The sequence below is a fragment of the Homo sapiens genome, chromosome 3, assembly GCF_000001405.40.
Source record: "Homo sapiens chromosome 3, GRCh38.p14 Primary Assembly".
Lineage (NCBI taxonomy): Eukaryota > Metazoa > Chordata > Mammalia > Primates > Hominidae > Homo > Homo sapiens.
This window is the reverse complement of record NC_000003.12, coordinates 185,794,881-185,809,060: the sequence shown is the minus strand read 5'-3', so window position 1 is coordinate 185,809,060 and position 14,180 is coordinate 185,794,881. Positions and strand designations below refer to the sequence as shown.

The following is a 14,180-nucleotide window of genomic DNA, read 5'->3' as shown; positions in this document are numbered from 1 at the left end:
AGGTGGATACAAGAATCGGATTTAAGATATGTTTGTTTATAATAAATTAAGCAGACAGCATCTAAAGTTACTGTGAAAAAACCAGACAAGTCTAACAATACCTACCAATGGACAAAGTAATTCATATATAACCAAGGAAGTGACTGACTAAATTTTAAATGCAAAGCAGAATGTTGTCAAATGCTCTCTATTAGGTTGGGTGCGGTGGCTCATGCCTGTAATCCCAGCACTTTGAGAGGCTGAGGCAGGTGGATTGCTTGAGGCCAGGAATTTGAGACCAGCCTGGCCAACATGGCAAAACCCCATCTCTACTAAAATGATAAAAAAAAAAAAAATAGCCAGGTGTGGTGGCATGCACCTGTGGTCCCAGCTACTTAGGAGGCTGAGGCATGAGAATCACTTGAGCCTGGGAGGCAGAGATTGCAGTGAGCTGAGATTGCACCACTGCACTCCAGCCTGGGTAATAGAGAGAGAGAGAGAGACCCTGTCTCAGAAGAAAAAAAGTAAAAATTAAAAAAAGCTCTGTGTTAGTAATCTATTAGCAATTTAATTTTTAAAATTATTATTATTTAGTATTTTTGAGACGGAGTTTAGCTCTTGTTGCCCAGGCTGGAGTGCAATGGTGTGATGTTGGCTCACTACAGCCTCTGCCTCCCAGGTTCAAGCAGTTCTCCTGCATCAGCCTCCCTGGTAGCTGCGATTGCAGGTGCCTGCCACCACACTCAGCTAATTTTTTTTTTGTATTTTTAGTAGAGACAGTGTTTCACCATGTTGGCAGGCTGGTCTTGAACTCCTGACCTCAGGTGATCCACCCGCCTCGGCCTTCCAAAGTCCTGGGATTACAGGTGTGAGCCACCATGCCCGGCCTCTATTAGCAATTTAAAACATTTTTGTTTGTTTGTTTGTTTCTTTCTTTCTTTCTTTCTTTTTTTTTTTTTTTTTTAAAAGAAACGAGGTCTTGGCATCTTGTCCAGGCTGGACTCGAACTCCCAGGCTCAAGCTATTCTCCTACCTCAGCCTTCTGAATAGCTGGGACTGTAGGCATGCACCACTACACCCAGCTAATTAAAACAAAAACATTTATTATCTCACATGTTTCCTGAGGATCAGGACAATGTCAGCACTTTAGCTGGATTGTTCTGACTCATCATCTTTCAGGAGATGGCAGTCAAGCTGCCATCTGTGGCTACAGTCATCCGATGGCTCAGCTGGGGCTGGAAGGTTGGCTACTAAGCTTACTCATGTGGTTGTTGGCTGGAGGCCTTAGTTCTTCACAGCATGACAATAGTCTTCCCCCAGAGTGAATAAAACAAGAAAGCCAAGGAGAGTGACATCACCTTTTCTTTTATGATGCAGTCACTGAGTCTGCCTTATTTTGTTCATTAAACATGAGACATGAAGTCCAGCCCATACTCTATGGGAAAGGATTACTCAATAAGTTGAATACCAGGAGATGAGAATCTTCGGGAGCCATCTTGGTTTTTAATAATTAGGAAAAGTCAACAAATTGAAACGATACTTAATTTGGGGCATATACTGAAAAGTAATAATCCCCTTACATTTATAATTAACCTCTTTTGGAGTAAAACTGGAATTTCTTATAACAGTAGTAATAATTACTGATTACTGAATTCTTTTATGATCCTTACTGAATTTTCACAACATTTTGTAGAATGAGGAAGGAAGATACTGTTATCCCCATTTCATAAATTAGAGAACTAAGGCCTAAATTGTTCTCAGTGCTTTAGGTGGGGTCACATTTTTAGCATTCAACCTCAGGTTTTTTTTCTTTTTCTTCACCTTTCTTTCCCCTGAAGAGTGATTCAATTACTTCACCTTTTATAAAATACAGTTTAATTGTTCCCTTTCTGTATTATCTCAGAAACCTGATTTTTTTCAGTGCCTAATTGAAAATTTTAAAACACTGCCCTTCTAGTATCAATAAAGTTGTTTGTTACTTTTCTGCCAGCAGCAAAAGTCCTTTTTGCTATTTTTGTATCTGGGTGAGGTCCGATTGCTCCAGAATTGTGCCATACTGTGGTTAGCCATGATCTACAAGAGGAAAATAAATTTATCCTTCTTTAAAATCATTGGTTTTCTAAGAAATGCGCCATTTACTATACCAAATATGAGTAAATCTTAGGCAAAATAAGTGTTCATATTGATATCAAATATGTCCAGTTCTCTCCCCTGCTAAAACTACAACGCATCAGGCCCTCAGATCTTTTGCACTTACCTTTATTATATATTAGAAAAATATTGCAAATATTTATAATGGTACTTGAAACTCTTTTCTTGAAGAAATTTGATAGTGTTTTGTGTTGTTTTTGATGTCAAGCATATCCATGTTGATGTTAAATGATTCATTCTGTGTGAGCATTTTGCCAAACTTAGGCAAACCTCTGAATTTTGCCTATAGAATGTCCTACATTGTTTTGACTTCAGTCAAGTATAGTGTATAATAGTCAAGTTTTTAAATTTTTTGAATCTCAGTGCTTGCTTTATTTGCATTACATATTCCCATAGCCCATGTAACCTTTTCTTTGAAAGGTTCTGATAACATGATAGTTATGTGAAGTGAAAAGTTATTTTGGTTGTTTCCTTTCGAATGTGTAGACTGAGGCTTAGAAAATATTAGAGTCCCTTAGGAGTGCTTACTCTTTAGGATAGATAGATGCTTTTTTATGAGTTAAAAAACACTACGGGTAAATATAATTTTCTATATAGTCTATATATTTTAGTCAACCAGAATAGATGCTAAGTTATCTTTTTCCCACCTCTTTTGTGTGCTCTTAAGTGACTTCCTGACCTCTCTGTAGTTTAAAATCTTGAAATATTTTTTCACAAAACAGTCAAATGATAATAGTTAAACTTTTTTTTTCTGCTTCAGGGAGTTTAGAGAGAACTCCCTGACTGTCTTCAGTGGGCAGACTGAGTTTAAGATTTACTTCACATTTGGCCGGGCACAGTGGCTCATGCCTGTAATCCCAGCACTCTGGGAGGCTGAGGCGGGTGGATCACCTGAGATCAGGCTGAGGCGGGTGGATCACCTGAGATCAGGCATTTGAGACCAGCCTGGCCAACATGGTGAAACCCTGTCTGTACTAAAAATACAAAAATTAGCTGGGGGTGGGGGGTGGTGGGCACCTGTAATCCCAGCTACTTGGGAGGCTGAGGCAGGAGAATCAGTTGAACCAGGAGGCGGACACTGCAGTGAGCCGAGATCACGCCACTGCACTCCAGCCTGGGTGACAAGAGTGAAGCTCCGTCTCAAAAAAAAAAAAAAAAAAGATTTACTTCACATTTTTGTAATCTTCCCGAGTTAAGAGGTTAAAAGTGAGCCTGAACAGGGAATTCCGTGAGCACAGAGGATCAAATGTGATCTATAACTCTATGTCCTTGTTGGTTTTTAAAATATTTTGGCTGCCTGTGGATATGCACCCAAAGAAATGTATTTTTTTCTCAGTTTTCCTCAACAACTTTTTTTCTTTGTATAATCTCGGCCTTGGGGAAAGGGAGCAGGGAAAATCAGAAGCCTTATCGTGGGCCAAACCACCTCCAGTGACCGGTTCAGGTCTCACACAGTCTTGATTATTCCTCCTTAATTTGCCCTTCATTTGATTTGTTTTTGAAGTCAAGAACAGCACCATTTGGGGTAAAAAGAGAACATTTCTTACTTGGTAACCAGGCAGTCTTTCCCAGCCCTCCTGAGAAAGCCTCATAGGTCTCTCTACCTACAAAAGCTCATCACAGAGTCTTTCCACAGCTCAAGTTAGCACCACACTCCTCTGAGGGTCCCTGGATATGTGCTAACTCTAGTTGTATGGTTGTCAGCCTTTGGTTTACTGGATTTTCAGAAATCCAGTAAAACCTGTGTTTACTGGATTTTCAGAAATACTTCTGGGCCAGTACAATTGATACTTGAACCTCAGACATTCACTGTGTGTGCCTAAGAGCCTAGGATCTACGTAAAGTGGAATGAAAATGGTTGAGCATTTTCCATCACATTGGTGGATGTTGTTCAGTTCGTGGCCTGAGGTTATGACTGTAATTTTTTTTTTTTTTTTTGAGACGGAGTCTTGCTCTGTCACCCAGGCTGGAGTGCAGTGGCGCCATCTTGGCTCACTGCAAGCTCCGCCTCCCTGGTTTGCGCCATTCTCCTGCCTCAGCCTCCCGAGTAGCTGGGACTACAGGCACCCGCCACCCACTCCCAGCTAATTTTTTTTTATATTTTTGGTAGAGACGGGGTTTCACTGTGTTAGCCAGGATGGTCTCGATGTCCTGACCTCATGATCCGCCCACCTCCGCCTCCCAAAGTGCTGGGATTACAGGCGTGAGCCACCGTGCCTGGCCTATGATTGTAATTAAATACATTGAGGCCTCATTGATTCAAGCTAGTTGCGGTAAAGGGAAGAGCAGTGATAATTAGTAGAATGCCTGAATGGGCAGATTTTAAAAAATTTATATTGTTTTCAATTAAATATTGTAACCTGAGGAAACTAACAAAATGTTACTAAAAAACAATCCTACTGGACCTTCTCATTGAATAGAAAAAATGACTTATATTCAGCTTATCAGTTATATATCAATACTTCTGAAATCTGTGTTTTTTTGTTTTTTTTTTGTTTGAGACAAAGTCTCGCTCTTGTCGCCTAGGCTGGAGTGCAGTGGCGCGATCTCAGCTCACTGCAACCTCTGCCTCCCGGGTTCAAGCAATTCTCCTGCCTCAGCCTCCCGAGTAGCTGGGATTACAGGCGTGCACCACCACACCTGGCTAATTTTTGTATTTTTTTTTTTTTTTTTTTGAGACGTAGTCTTGCTCTGTTGTCCAGGCTGGAGTACAATGGCGCCATCTCGGCTCACCGCAACCTCTGCCTCCTGGGTTCAAGTGATTCTCTGCCTCAGTCTCCCGAGTAGCTGGGATTACAGGCACATGCCACCACGCCTGGCTAATTTTTGTATTTTTAGTAGACACGGGGTTTCACCATCTCAGCCAGGCTGGTCTTGAGCTCCTGACCTCGTGATCCACCCGCCTCAGCCTCCCAAAGTGCTGGGATTATAGGCGTGAGCCGCTGCACCTGGCCAATTTTTGTACTTTTAGTAGAGATAGGGTTTCACCATGTTGGCCAGGCTGGTCTCAAACTCCTGACCTCAGGTGATCCACCCGCCTCGGCCTCCTAAAGTGCTGGGATTACAGGCATGAGCCACTGCGTCCAGCCTGAAATGTGTTTAAATAGCTTATTTCCCTTTTATGATCTTGTTTATATTGATTCCTTTGTTGAATGAGTACCCCTACCCCCCTTTAAAGGAAAGATTAATTTCAGTTCTGTCCTATTACAATTAGAATTAATAATATTTCACTATTCAGTGAACTACAATCTTGATTCATTTTAGGTTTCTGGTGCCATTGAGACACAAATATCTGGGTGCCACCCTATGCTAGAAGAAGTTAGGATGATGTCTTAATTACTTTCATGTGACAGAAAGTGGTTAAAAAATCCATCCATTCAAAAACGTTTAATTTAAATCATGGCAATACAGTATTCTTTAATCAACAGAAAGTGAAAATAACTTTGATCAGAATACTTACAATTAAAGAAAATGGAAATACTTCTTTTTTCAGTACTTTTATTTGGGAAATATTTACCAGGAAGAATCCAGTAACCAGTAATACTGTAATTTAGGGCTATTTTATTTTGTTTATTTTTTTGAGATGGAGTCTTGCTCTGCTGTCCAGACTGGAGTGCAGTAGCATGATCTCGGCTCACTGCAACCTCTGCCTCCCAGGTTCAAGTGATTATCCTGCCTCAGCCTCCTAAGTAGCTGGTATTACAGGCACCTGCCACCACACCCGGCTACTTTTTGTATTTTTATTAGAGACAGGGTTTCACCATGTTAGCTAGGCTGGTCTTGAACTCCTGACCTCAAGCAATCCACCTGCCTAGGCCTCAAAGTGCTGGGATTACAGGCGTGAGCCACCACGCCCAGCCTGATTTGGGGCTATTTTAATGTTTGATCACTTGACATTTCATTCAGCCCTCTAAAAATAAAATTGAGATACATTTTAGTTTAAAAAGAAGTGCTGTGGGTAACCTCTGAGATTGAGTCTAGCAAACTACATTTGTCAGAAATAGGATAACTGGCCGGGCGGGTGGCTTACCCCTGCTACATTAGCACTCCAAAGGCTACTCTCAGCACTTCTGCATTTATTTAAGTCTTTCTAACAACAGGAAAGTGTTTGTGGATGTTCTCATCTTGAGAAAAGCTTTTTCTTCTGAATATTTTCTCTCTCAAGGGTTTTTAGAGACCTAAACTTTCTTGATGGTGCTTTGGCTGGCTGGTGGGTGTGTAAGAGAAATTTTATACCTAGTTGGTAATGCTGCATTGGGTTTTGAAATTAACTGCCTACCAGCTCTCAGTTTCCTCAGCTGTATTAATTGCTGAATGCTAAATTATGTGTGAATAATTTAAAAAATGTTCTCAAGACCCAGTAATGAATTCAACAAATTATTTCAACTTGGAAGAGCATGACTTCAGCACCCACTACGATGCATTAGCCAGAGTGGAGCTAGAGTACAGGTTACAGAAGAGGCCAACCCTCTGTCCCTGCATTCATGAACTCGGCTCTGAGGAATCTTCTGTTATTTCCAAATTTGCAGAAAGAAACCTTGGGCAAACTGCTTCTTTTCCACCTTACCATTCCAACACCAGCCTTAGGTATTACCGTAATTAGTCAAGAACATGTCTTGGTTAGTCAAGAACACTTCATGTGTTAAGCTGGAATGAGGATGCTACTTAGCAAAGGACTAGTGATCAGAACCTCTCTACCTGTGTGCTCCTCTGGGATGCATTAGGTTTACCTTCCAGATTTCTTTTTTTTTTCTAATTTTAAGTTCTGGGATACATGTGCAGAACATGCAGGTTTGTTACATAGGTATACATGTGCCATGGTGGTTTGCTGCACCTATCAACCCGTCATCTAGGTTTTAATCCCCACATGGATTAGGTATTTGTCTTAATGCTCTCCCTCCCCTTGCCCCCTACTGCTTGACAGGCCCTGGTGTGTGATGGTCCCCTCCCTGTGTCCACGTGTTCTCATTCAACTCCCACTTATGAGTGAGAACAGGTGGTGTTTGGTTTTCTGGTCCTGTGTTAGTTTGCCGAGAATGATGGCTTCCAGCTTCATCCATGTCCCTGCAAAGGATATGAACTCACTCTTTTTATGGCTACATAGTATTCCATGCTGTATGTGTGCCACATTTTCTTTATCCAGTCTATCATTGATGGGCATTTGGGTTGGTTCCAAGTCTTTGCTGTTGTAAATAGTGCTGCAGTAAACATAAGTGTGCATGTGTTTATAGTAGCATGATTTATAATCCTTTGGGTATACACTCAGTAATGGGATTGCTGGGTCAAATGGTATTTCTGGTTCTAGATCCTTGAGGCATTGCCACACTGTCTTCCACAATAGTTGAACTAATTTGCACTCCCAACAGCGTAAAAGTGTTCCTATTTCTCCACAGCCTCGCCAGCATCTGTTGTTTCCTGACTTTTTTTTTTTTTTTTTTTTTGAGATGGAGTTTTGCTCTTGTTGCCCAGGCTGGGGTGCAATGACGCCATCTCGGCTCACCACAACCTCCGCCTCCTGGGTTCAAGCAATTCTCCTGCCTCAGCCTCCTGAGTAGCTGGGATTACAGGCATGTGCCACCACGCCTGGCTAATTTTGTATTTTTAGTAGAGACGGGGTTTCTCCATGTTGGTTAGGCTGGTCTTGAACTCCTGACCTCAAGTGATCCACCTGCCTCGGCCTCCCAAAGTGCTGGGATTACTGGCGTGAGCCACCGTGCCCAGCTGTTTCCTGACTTTTTAATAATCGCTATTCTAACTGCCTTGATATGGTATCTCATTGTGGTTTTGATTTGCATTTCTTTAATGACCCGTGATGATGAGCTTTTTTTCATATGTTTGTTGGCTGCATGAATGTCTTCTTTTGAGAAGTGTCTGTTCATATCCTTCACCCACTCTTTTATGGAGTTGTTTTTTTTTCTTATAAGTTTGTTTAAGTTCCTTGTAGATTCTGGATATTAGACCTTTGTCAGGTGGTTAGATTGCAAAATTTTTCTCCCATTCTGTAGATTGCCTGTTCACTCTGATGATCGTTTCCTTTGCTGTGCAGAAGCTCTTTAATTAGATCCCATTTGTCAAATTTGGCTTTTGTTACGATTGCTTTTGGTGTTTTAGTCATGAAATCTTTGCACATGCCTATGTCCTACCTTCCAGATTTCTTTTATCATTTACTCCCAGGTATTCAGCAAGTACTTTCTTTCTTTCTTTCTTTCTTTTTTTTTGGCTCAGTCACCAAGTGGCAACTTCTCAGCTCACTGCAACCTCCGCCTCCTGGGTTCAAGTGATTCTCTGGCCTCAACCTCCTGAGTAGCTGGGATTATAGGCATGTGCCACTATGCCTGGCCAAGTTTTGTATTTTTGGTAAAGATGGGATTTCACCATATTGGCCAGGCTGGTCTTGAACTCCTGACCTCAAATGATCCTTGCCTCAGCCTTGCAAAGTGCAGGGATTACAGGTGTGAGCCACGACATCAGCAAGTACTTTTTTTTATTTTTATTATTGTATTTTATTATTATACTTCTAGGGTACATGTGCACAATGTGCAGGTTTGTTACATGGGTATACATGTGCCATATGTTGGTTTGCTGAACCCATCAACTTGTCATTTACATTAGGTGTTTCTCCTAATGCTATACCTCCCCCAGTCCCCCACTCTCCGACAGGCCCCGGTCTATGACGTTCCCCGCTTTGTGTCCAAGTGTTCTCATTGTTCATTTCCCACCTATGAGTGAGAACATGCAGTGTTTGGTTTTCTCTCCTAGTGATAGTTTACTGAGAGTGATGGTTTCCAGCTTCATCCATGTCCCTGCAAAGGACATGGACTCATTCTTTTTATGGTTGCATAGTATTCCATGGTGTATATGTGCCACATTTTCTTAATCCAGTCTATCATTGATGGACATTTGGGTTGGTTCCAAGTCTTTGCTATTGTGAATAGTGCCACAGTAAAGATACGTGTGCATGTGCCTTTATAGTAGCATGATTTATAATCCTTTGGGTATATACCCAGTAATGGGATTGCTGGGTCAAATGGCATTTCTAGTTCTAGATCCTTGAGGAATTGCTACACTGTCTTCCACAATGGTTGAACTAATTTACACTCCCACCAACAGTGTAAAAGTGTTCCTATTTCTCCACATCCTCTCCAGCATCTGTTGTTTCCTGACTTTTTTTTTTTTTTTGAGACGGAGTCTCGCTCTGTCTCCCAGGCTGGAGTGCAGTTGTGCAATCTCAGCTCACTGCAAGCTCTGCCTCCTGGGTTCAAGCAATTCTCCTGCCTCAGCCTCCCGAGTAGCTGGGACTACAGTCACCCGCCACCACGCCCAGCTAATTTTTTTTGTATTTTTTTAGTAGAGACGGGGTTTCACCGTGTTAGCCAGGATGGTCTCGGTCTCCTGACCTCGTGATCCGCCCGCCTCGGCCTCCCAAAGTGCTGGGATTACAGGCGTGAGCCACCGTGCCTGGCATTTCCTGACTTTTTAATGATCACCATTCTAACTGGCGTGAGATGGTATGTCATTGTGGTTTTGTCTCTGTGACAGTCTTGCTCTGTTGCCCAGGGATGGAAGGCAGTGGTGCAGTGGAGCTGCTCACTGCAGCCTCCGCCTTCTGGGCTCAAGCGATTCTCCCACCTTAGCTTCCCAAGTAGCTGCGACTACAGGCACATGACACCACACCTTGGCTTATTTTTGTTTTTGTAGATATGGGGTTTTGCTATTTTACCTGGGCTGGTCTCATACTCCTGGGCTCAAGTGATCTGCCTGACTTGACCTCCCAATATGTTGAGATTACAGGCGTGAGCCACTGTGCCCGGCCTGCAGCTTCTTTCTCCTAAATGTTGAGTAAAGAAAAACTTAGAGCCAGGCACAGTGGCTCACGCCTGTAATCTCAGCACTTTGGGAGGCTGAGGCGGGAAGATCACTTGAGCCTAGGAATTCGAGACCAGCCTGGACAACATGGTGAAACCCGTTGCTACAAAAAATACAAGAATTAGCCAGGCGTGGTGGTGTGTGCCTGTAGTCTCAGCTACTTGTAAGGCTAAGGTGGGAGGGTTGCTTGAGCCTGGGAGCCAAGACCGCACCACTGCATTCCATCCAGCCTGGATGACAGAGTAAGATTCTGTCTCAAAAAAAAAAAAGAAAAAAAGAAAAAAGAAAAACTTAGTTATATTTTGCTTACTCAGGGTTTTCTTGAACAGGTACTGTCTGCTTCTTATGATGTTGCATTAATAAAAAACTCCCTCGTAAAAGCAGGTGTTTTAAAGCAAATGGTGTTTTCCCACAGGAAAAATGTTATATTTGGGTGTTAACGTCCTGATCAAGGCCTTGGCATCAAATAAATCATGAATGGGACCAATAATGTGTCATAAAATCAACAATACAATAATTACAAACCTCCATAGTCATTTAAAATAATATACTCCAAGTCCAATAAAATTGGCATGAATGTTGTGTAAGAAAAATTCATGTGGTCATAGAAACACAGTTTCCTGAATCTATTATGTAATAAATATTAACACTATTTGTACTCGTAGAATTTGGAGAGGAAAGATCTGGATAGCCTAAGTCTCTAAAAATGTTGAAGGAAGTCTTTAGTGGATGCCTTTTTCCACTGTAGATTTCCTGGGAGTAAACCTGGAGGTGAATAAAACACCGGGGCCCAGTCACTGTCTGTCATTATTGGAGGTGGTGAGAATGTGGGCGTGTTTTTCCCTGAAAAGCAATTTTTTTTTCTCTTGAGGCAGAGTCTTGCTCTTCTGCCCAGGAGTGCAGTGGCGCAATCTCAGCTCACTGCAACATCCATGTCCTGGGTTCAAGCGATTCTCTTGCCTCAACCTCATGAGTAGCTGGGATTACAGGTGGGCACCACCACCCCTGGCTAATTTTATATTCTTAATAGAGATGGGATTTCACCATGTTGGCCAGGCTGGTCTCGAACTCCTGACCTCAGGTGATCCACCTGCCTCGGCCTCCCAAAGTGTTGAGATTACAGGCATGAGCCACCACGCCCGGCTTTTTTTTTTTTTTTTTTTTTTTAAGAGACAGGGTCTCACTCTGTCACTCAGGCTGGAGTGATCTTGGCTTACCGGAGCCTTGACCTCGCCAGGCTCACGTGGTTCTCCCACCTCAGCCTCCTCAGTAGCTAGGACTACAGGCATGCACCTCCACGCTTGGCTAATTTTTTTGTTTTTTTTGTAGAGAGAGAGTTTTGCCATGTTGCCAGGCTGGTCTCGAACTCCTGGGCCCAGCTGATCCGCCTGCATTGGCCTCCCACAGTGCTGGGATTACAGGCATGAGCCACTGCTCCTGGCCTGTGAAAAGCATTTTTAAGTGAAGGGACTGATGCACAGTTTCTCCTTGAGTTTCTTCAAAGCTCTGCCTGTCAGCTGAAATAAAGGTGAAAGAGTGAAGCCAGCAAACTCTGCTCTTAACTGAAAAACCAGGCATTAGTTGTTAGATCATTAGTCCTGCTTTCTAGGAGAGGATCTTCAGATGTTCTCTTTGGGGTGTCCAAATTAGCATAGGCTTGTAAGAGTGTAAACAAATGATATGGCCAAAAGAGTACCGGACATGGGATCAGAAGACCTGGTCCAGCCTAGCTGTACTCCTTACTGCTTGTGTGGCTCTGGATAGGACACTCCTGAGCGTCCACCTCACTTTCCTACATTGTGAGCACAAACACACCTACCTGGAAGAATTGTAAGGGCTGAGTAGGTTCATGTGTATCATTGTACCCAGCATAGGAAGCTTTTTATAAGTAGTTGAAATAATTGATTGGTGAAGTGAACATAGAGAATTCTGTCTCTTATCCTTCTTGTCCCTGGAGTAGAAAGCCTGCTTTTGGTAGATACCTAAGCAGAAATAGTTCTGGGGAAGTGGGGAGAAACAGGGTGGGGCAGTGCGTTTCTCACTTTGCAGATCTTCCTGGGAGGCCTGAGAGTGGATGGGGTTTGGAGTGTGTTGTTGGTTTCGTACCTGGAATCTGATGTGCATTTTGACTCAGAATGCATTGTCAGGAATCTTGATGACAACGGTATGTTGCTCAGTAACTGAAAGATTGTTTGAACCAAACTATTGTAGCAAAATTTTCTTGGCAGGTATGCCCTGTTGATACTGAGCCCAGTGTGCATTGATAGTTTTATAGTGACTACTACAAAGTAAACAGAAGTTCACAGTGACTCAGAGTAAACCGTGACTCAGAGTATACAGGTACTACACTCTGGACATCCTAAAGCAATTAACAAATAAATGTGCTGGTAGGAAAATTGTTGTCTATTGTATTACCTTAGTCTCTCTCTCTTTTTTTTTTTTTTTTTCCTAGCTCAGGAATTGTTCTTGTCCCTGGAATTTTTTTTTTTTTTTTTTTTTTGAGACGGAATGTCACTCTGTCACCCAGGCTGGAGTGCAGTGGTGTGATCTCTGCTCACTACAACCTCTGCCTCTCGGGAGTTCAAGTGATTCTCCTACCTCAGGCCCCTGAGTAGCTGGGATTACAGGCGTATGCCACCATGACCAGCTAATTTTTGTATTTTCAGTGGAGACAGGGTTTCACCATGTTTGCCAGGCTGGTCTCAAACTCCTGACCTCAAGTGATCCGCCCTCCTCGTCCTCCCAAAGTACTGGGATTACAGGCGTGAGCCACCATGCCCCGCCTATCCCTGGAGCTCTTATTTCAAGAATACACTAGATTCTATAGCCAGAAATGGTTAAGTTCTAATATGCAAACTGGATCTAAGGAAAAGAAAAAATGATTAAAAGACATAGTAATCCTTTAAATAAGTTTTTTCATGGAACCCACAGAATCCATAGACCTTAGGGATTATCTATTCCACTCTCCCCTGCCTGTGGAAATTCATACTCGGACATCAAAAAGTATGTCCTGTGTTAATGTTGGATATTACTAGAAAGTTATCCTCCTCAGTGCTGTGTTTTTTCCTCTACATCATACAATCTCTAAAAATTTTTTCATATAGTTTGTTGTGTTGAAGTAAAGCTAAGTTTAAGAACAAAACAGTATTTTTCATTTTCTTTTTTCTTTTCTTTTTTTTGAGACAGAGTCTCTCTCTGTTGCCCAGCCTGGAGTGTAGTGGTGTGGTCTCATCTCACTGCACCCTCCACCTGCTGGGTTCATGCAGTTCTCCTGTCTCAGCCTCCCTAGTAGTTGGGACTACAGGCTGGGACTGCGCCACCACACCCAGCTAATTTTTGTATTTTTAGTAGATACAGGGTTTCACCATATTGGTCAGGCTGGTCTCGAACTCCTGACCTCAGGTGATCCACATGCTTTGGCCTCCCAAATTGCTGGGATTACAGACTGACCCACTGCTTCTGGCTTCATTTTCTTAAAGAATTCACCAACCCAGATGATTTTGTCTCCTCTTTGTCTCTTTCAAGACACATTTGAAAATAGCACTGATACATTGTGAGATCCAGCAATTTCACTGCCAGGTGTGTGCCCAAAAGAATTGAAAGCAGGGACTAGAACAGATATTTGTACACCCATGTTAAAGCAGTATTGTTTGCATTGGTCAACATGTGGAAGTGGCCCGAGTGTCCATTGCCAGGTGCCTGGAGAAACAAATGTGGTATGGACATACAGTGGAATATTTTCAGCCTTAAGGGAGAAGGGAATTTTGACACATGTTACCACATGGATGAGCCATGAAGACATTTTGCTAATGAAATAAGTCACAAGAGGATAAGCACTATATGATCCCACTTATAGAAGATAACTGGAGGCTGGGCGTGGTGGCTCATGCCTGTAATCCCAGCACTTTGGGAGGCCGAGGTGGGTGGATCACGAGGTCAGGAGATCGAGACCATCCTGGCTAACATGGTGAAACCTCGTCTCTACTAAAAATACAAAAAAGTAGCCGGGCGAGGTGGTGGGCGCCTGTAGTTCCAGCAAGTCAGGAGGCTGAGGCAAGAGAATGGCATGAACCCGGGAGGTGGAGCTTGCAGTGAGCAGAGAGAGCGCCACTGCACTCCAGCCTGGGCGACAGAGTGAGACTCCGCCTCAAAAAAAAAAGAAAAGAAAAGATAACTGGAGTAGT

At 42.7% G+C, this 14,180-nt stretch overlaps 1 protein-coding gene across 31 annotated transcripts in view, besides 5 other annotated features; it reads left to right on the top strand.

The window, feature by feature from the left end:
• Positions 1–14,180, top strand: part of IGF2BP2 (insulin like growth factor 2 mRNA binding protein 2) — a 181,913-nt gene that overhangs the window by 15,982 nt on the left and 151,751 nt on the right. The gene's annotated exons all lie outside the window — the stretch shown is intronic.
• Positions 953–1,495: an enhancer, noted in NCBI's record as "OCT4-NANOG hESC enhancer chr3:185525354-185525896 (GRCh37/hg19 assembly coordinates)". NCBI's record gives its function as "activates a minimal SCP1, AML or CMV promoter by ChIP-STARR-seq in naive H9 embryonic stem cells {active_cell/tissue: H9 hESC(naive)}" and the evidence as "EXISTENCE:reporter gene assay evidence [ECO:0000049][PMID:30033119]".
• Positions 5,952–6,453: an enhancer, noted in NCBI's record as "NANOG hESC enhancer chr3:185520396-185520897 (GRCh37/hg19 assembly coordinates)". NCBI's record gives its function as "activates a minimal SCP1, AML or CMV promoter by ChIP-STARR-seq in naive and primed H9 embryonic stem cells {active_cell/tissue: H9 hESC(naive and primed)}" and the evidence as "EXISTENCE:reporter gene assay evidence [ECO:0000049][PMID:30033119]".
• Positions 9,091–9,590: an enhancer, noted in NCBI's record as "H3K4me1 hESC enhancer chr3:185517259-185517758 (GRCh37/hg19 assembly coordinates)". NCBI's record gives its function as "activates a minimal SCP1, AML or CMV promoter by ChIP-STARR-seq in naive H9 embryonic stem cells {active_cell/tissue: H9 hESC(naive)}" and the evidence as "EXISTENCE:reporter gene assay evidence [ECO:0000049][PMID:30033119]".
• Positions 9,591–10,092: an enhancer, noted in NCBI's record as "H3K4me1 hESC enhancer chr3:185516757-185517258 (GRCh37/hg19 assembly coordinates)". NCBI's record gives its function as "activates a minimal SCP1, AML or CMV promoter by ChIP-STARR-seq in naive H9 embryonic stem cells {active_cell/tissue: H9 hESC(naive)}" and the evidence as "EXISTENCE:reporter gene assay evidence [ECO:0000049][PMID:30033119]".
• Positions 10,480–13,764: an enhancer, noted in NCBI's record as "VISTA enhancer hs1976". NCBI's record gives its function as "enhancer in: pancreas[3/5]" and the evidence as "EXISTENCE:transgenic organism evidence [ECO:0001131][PMID:17130149]".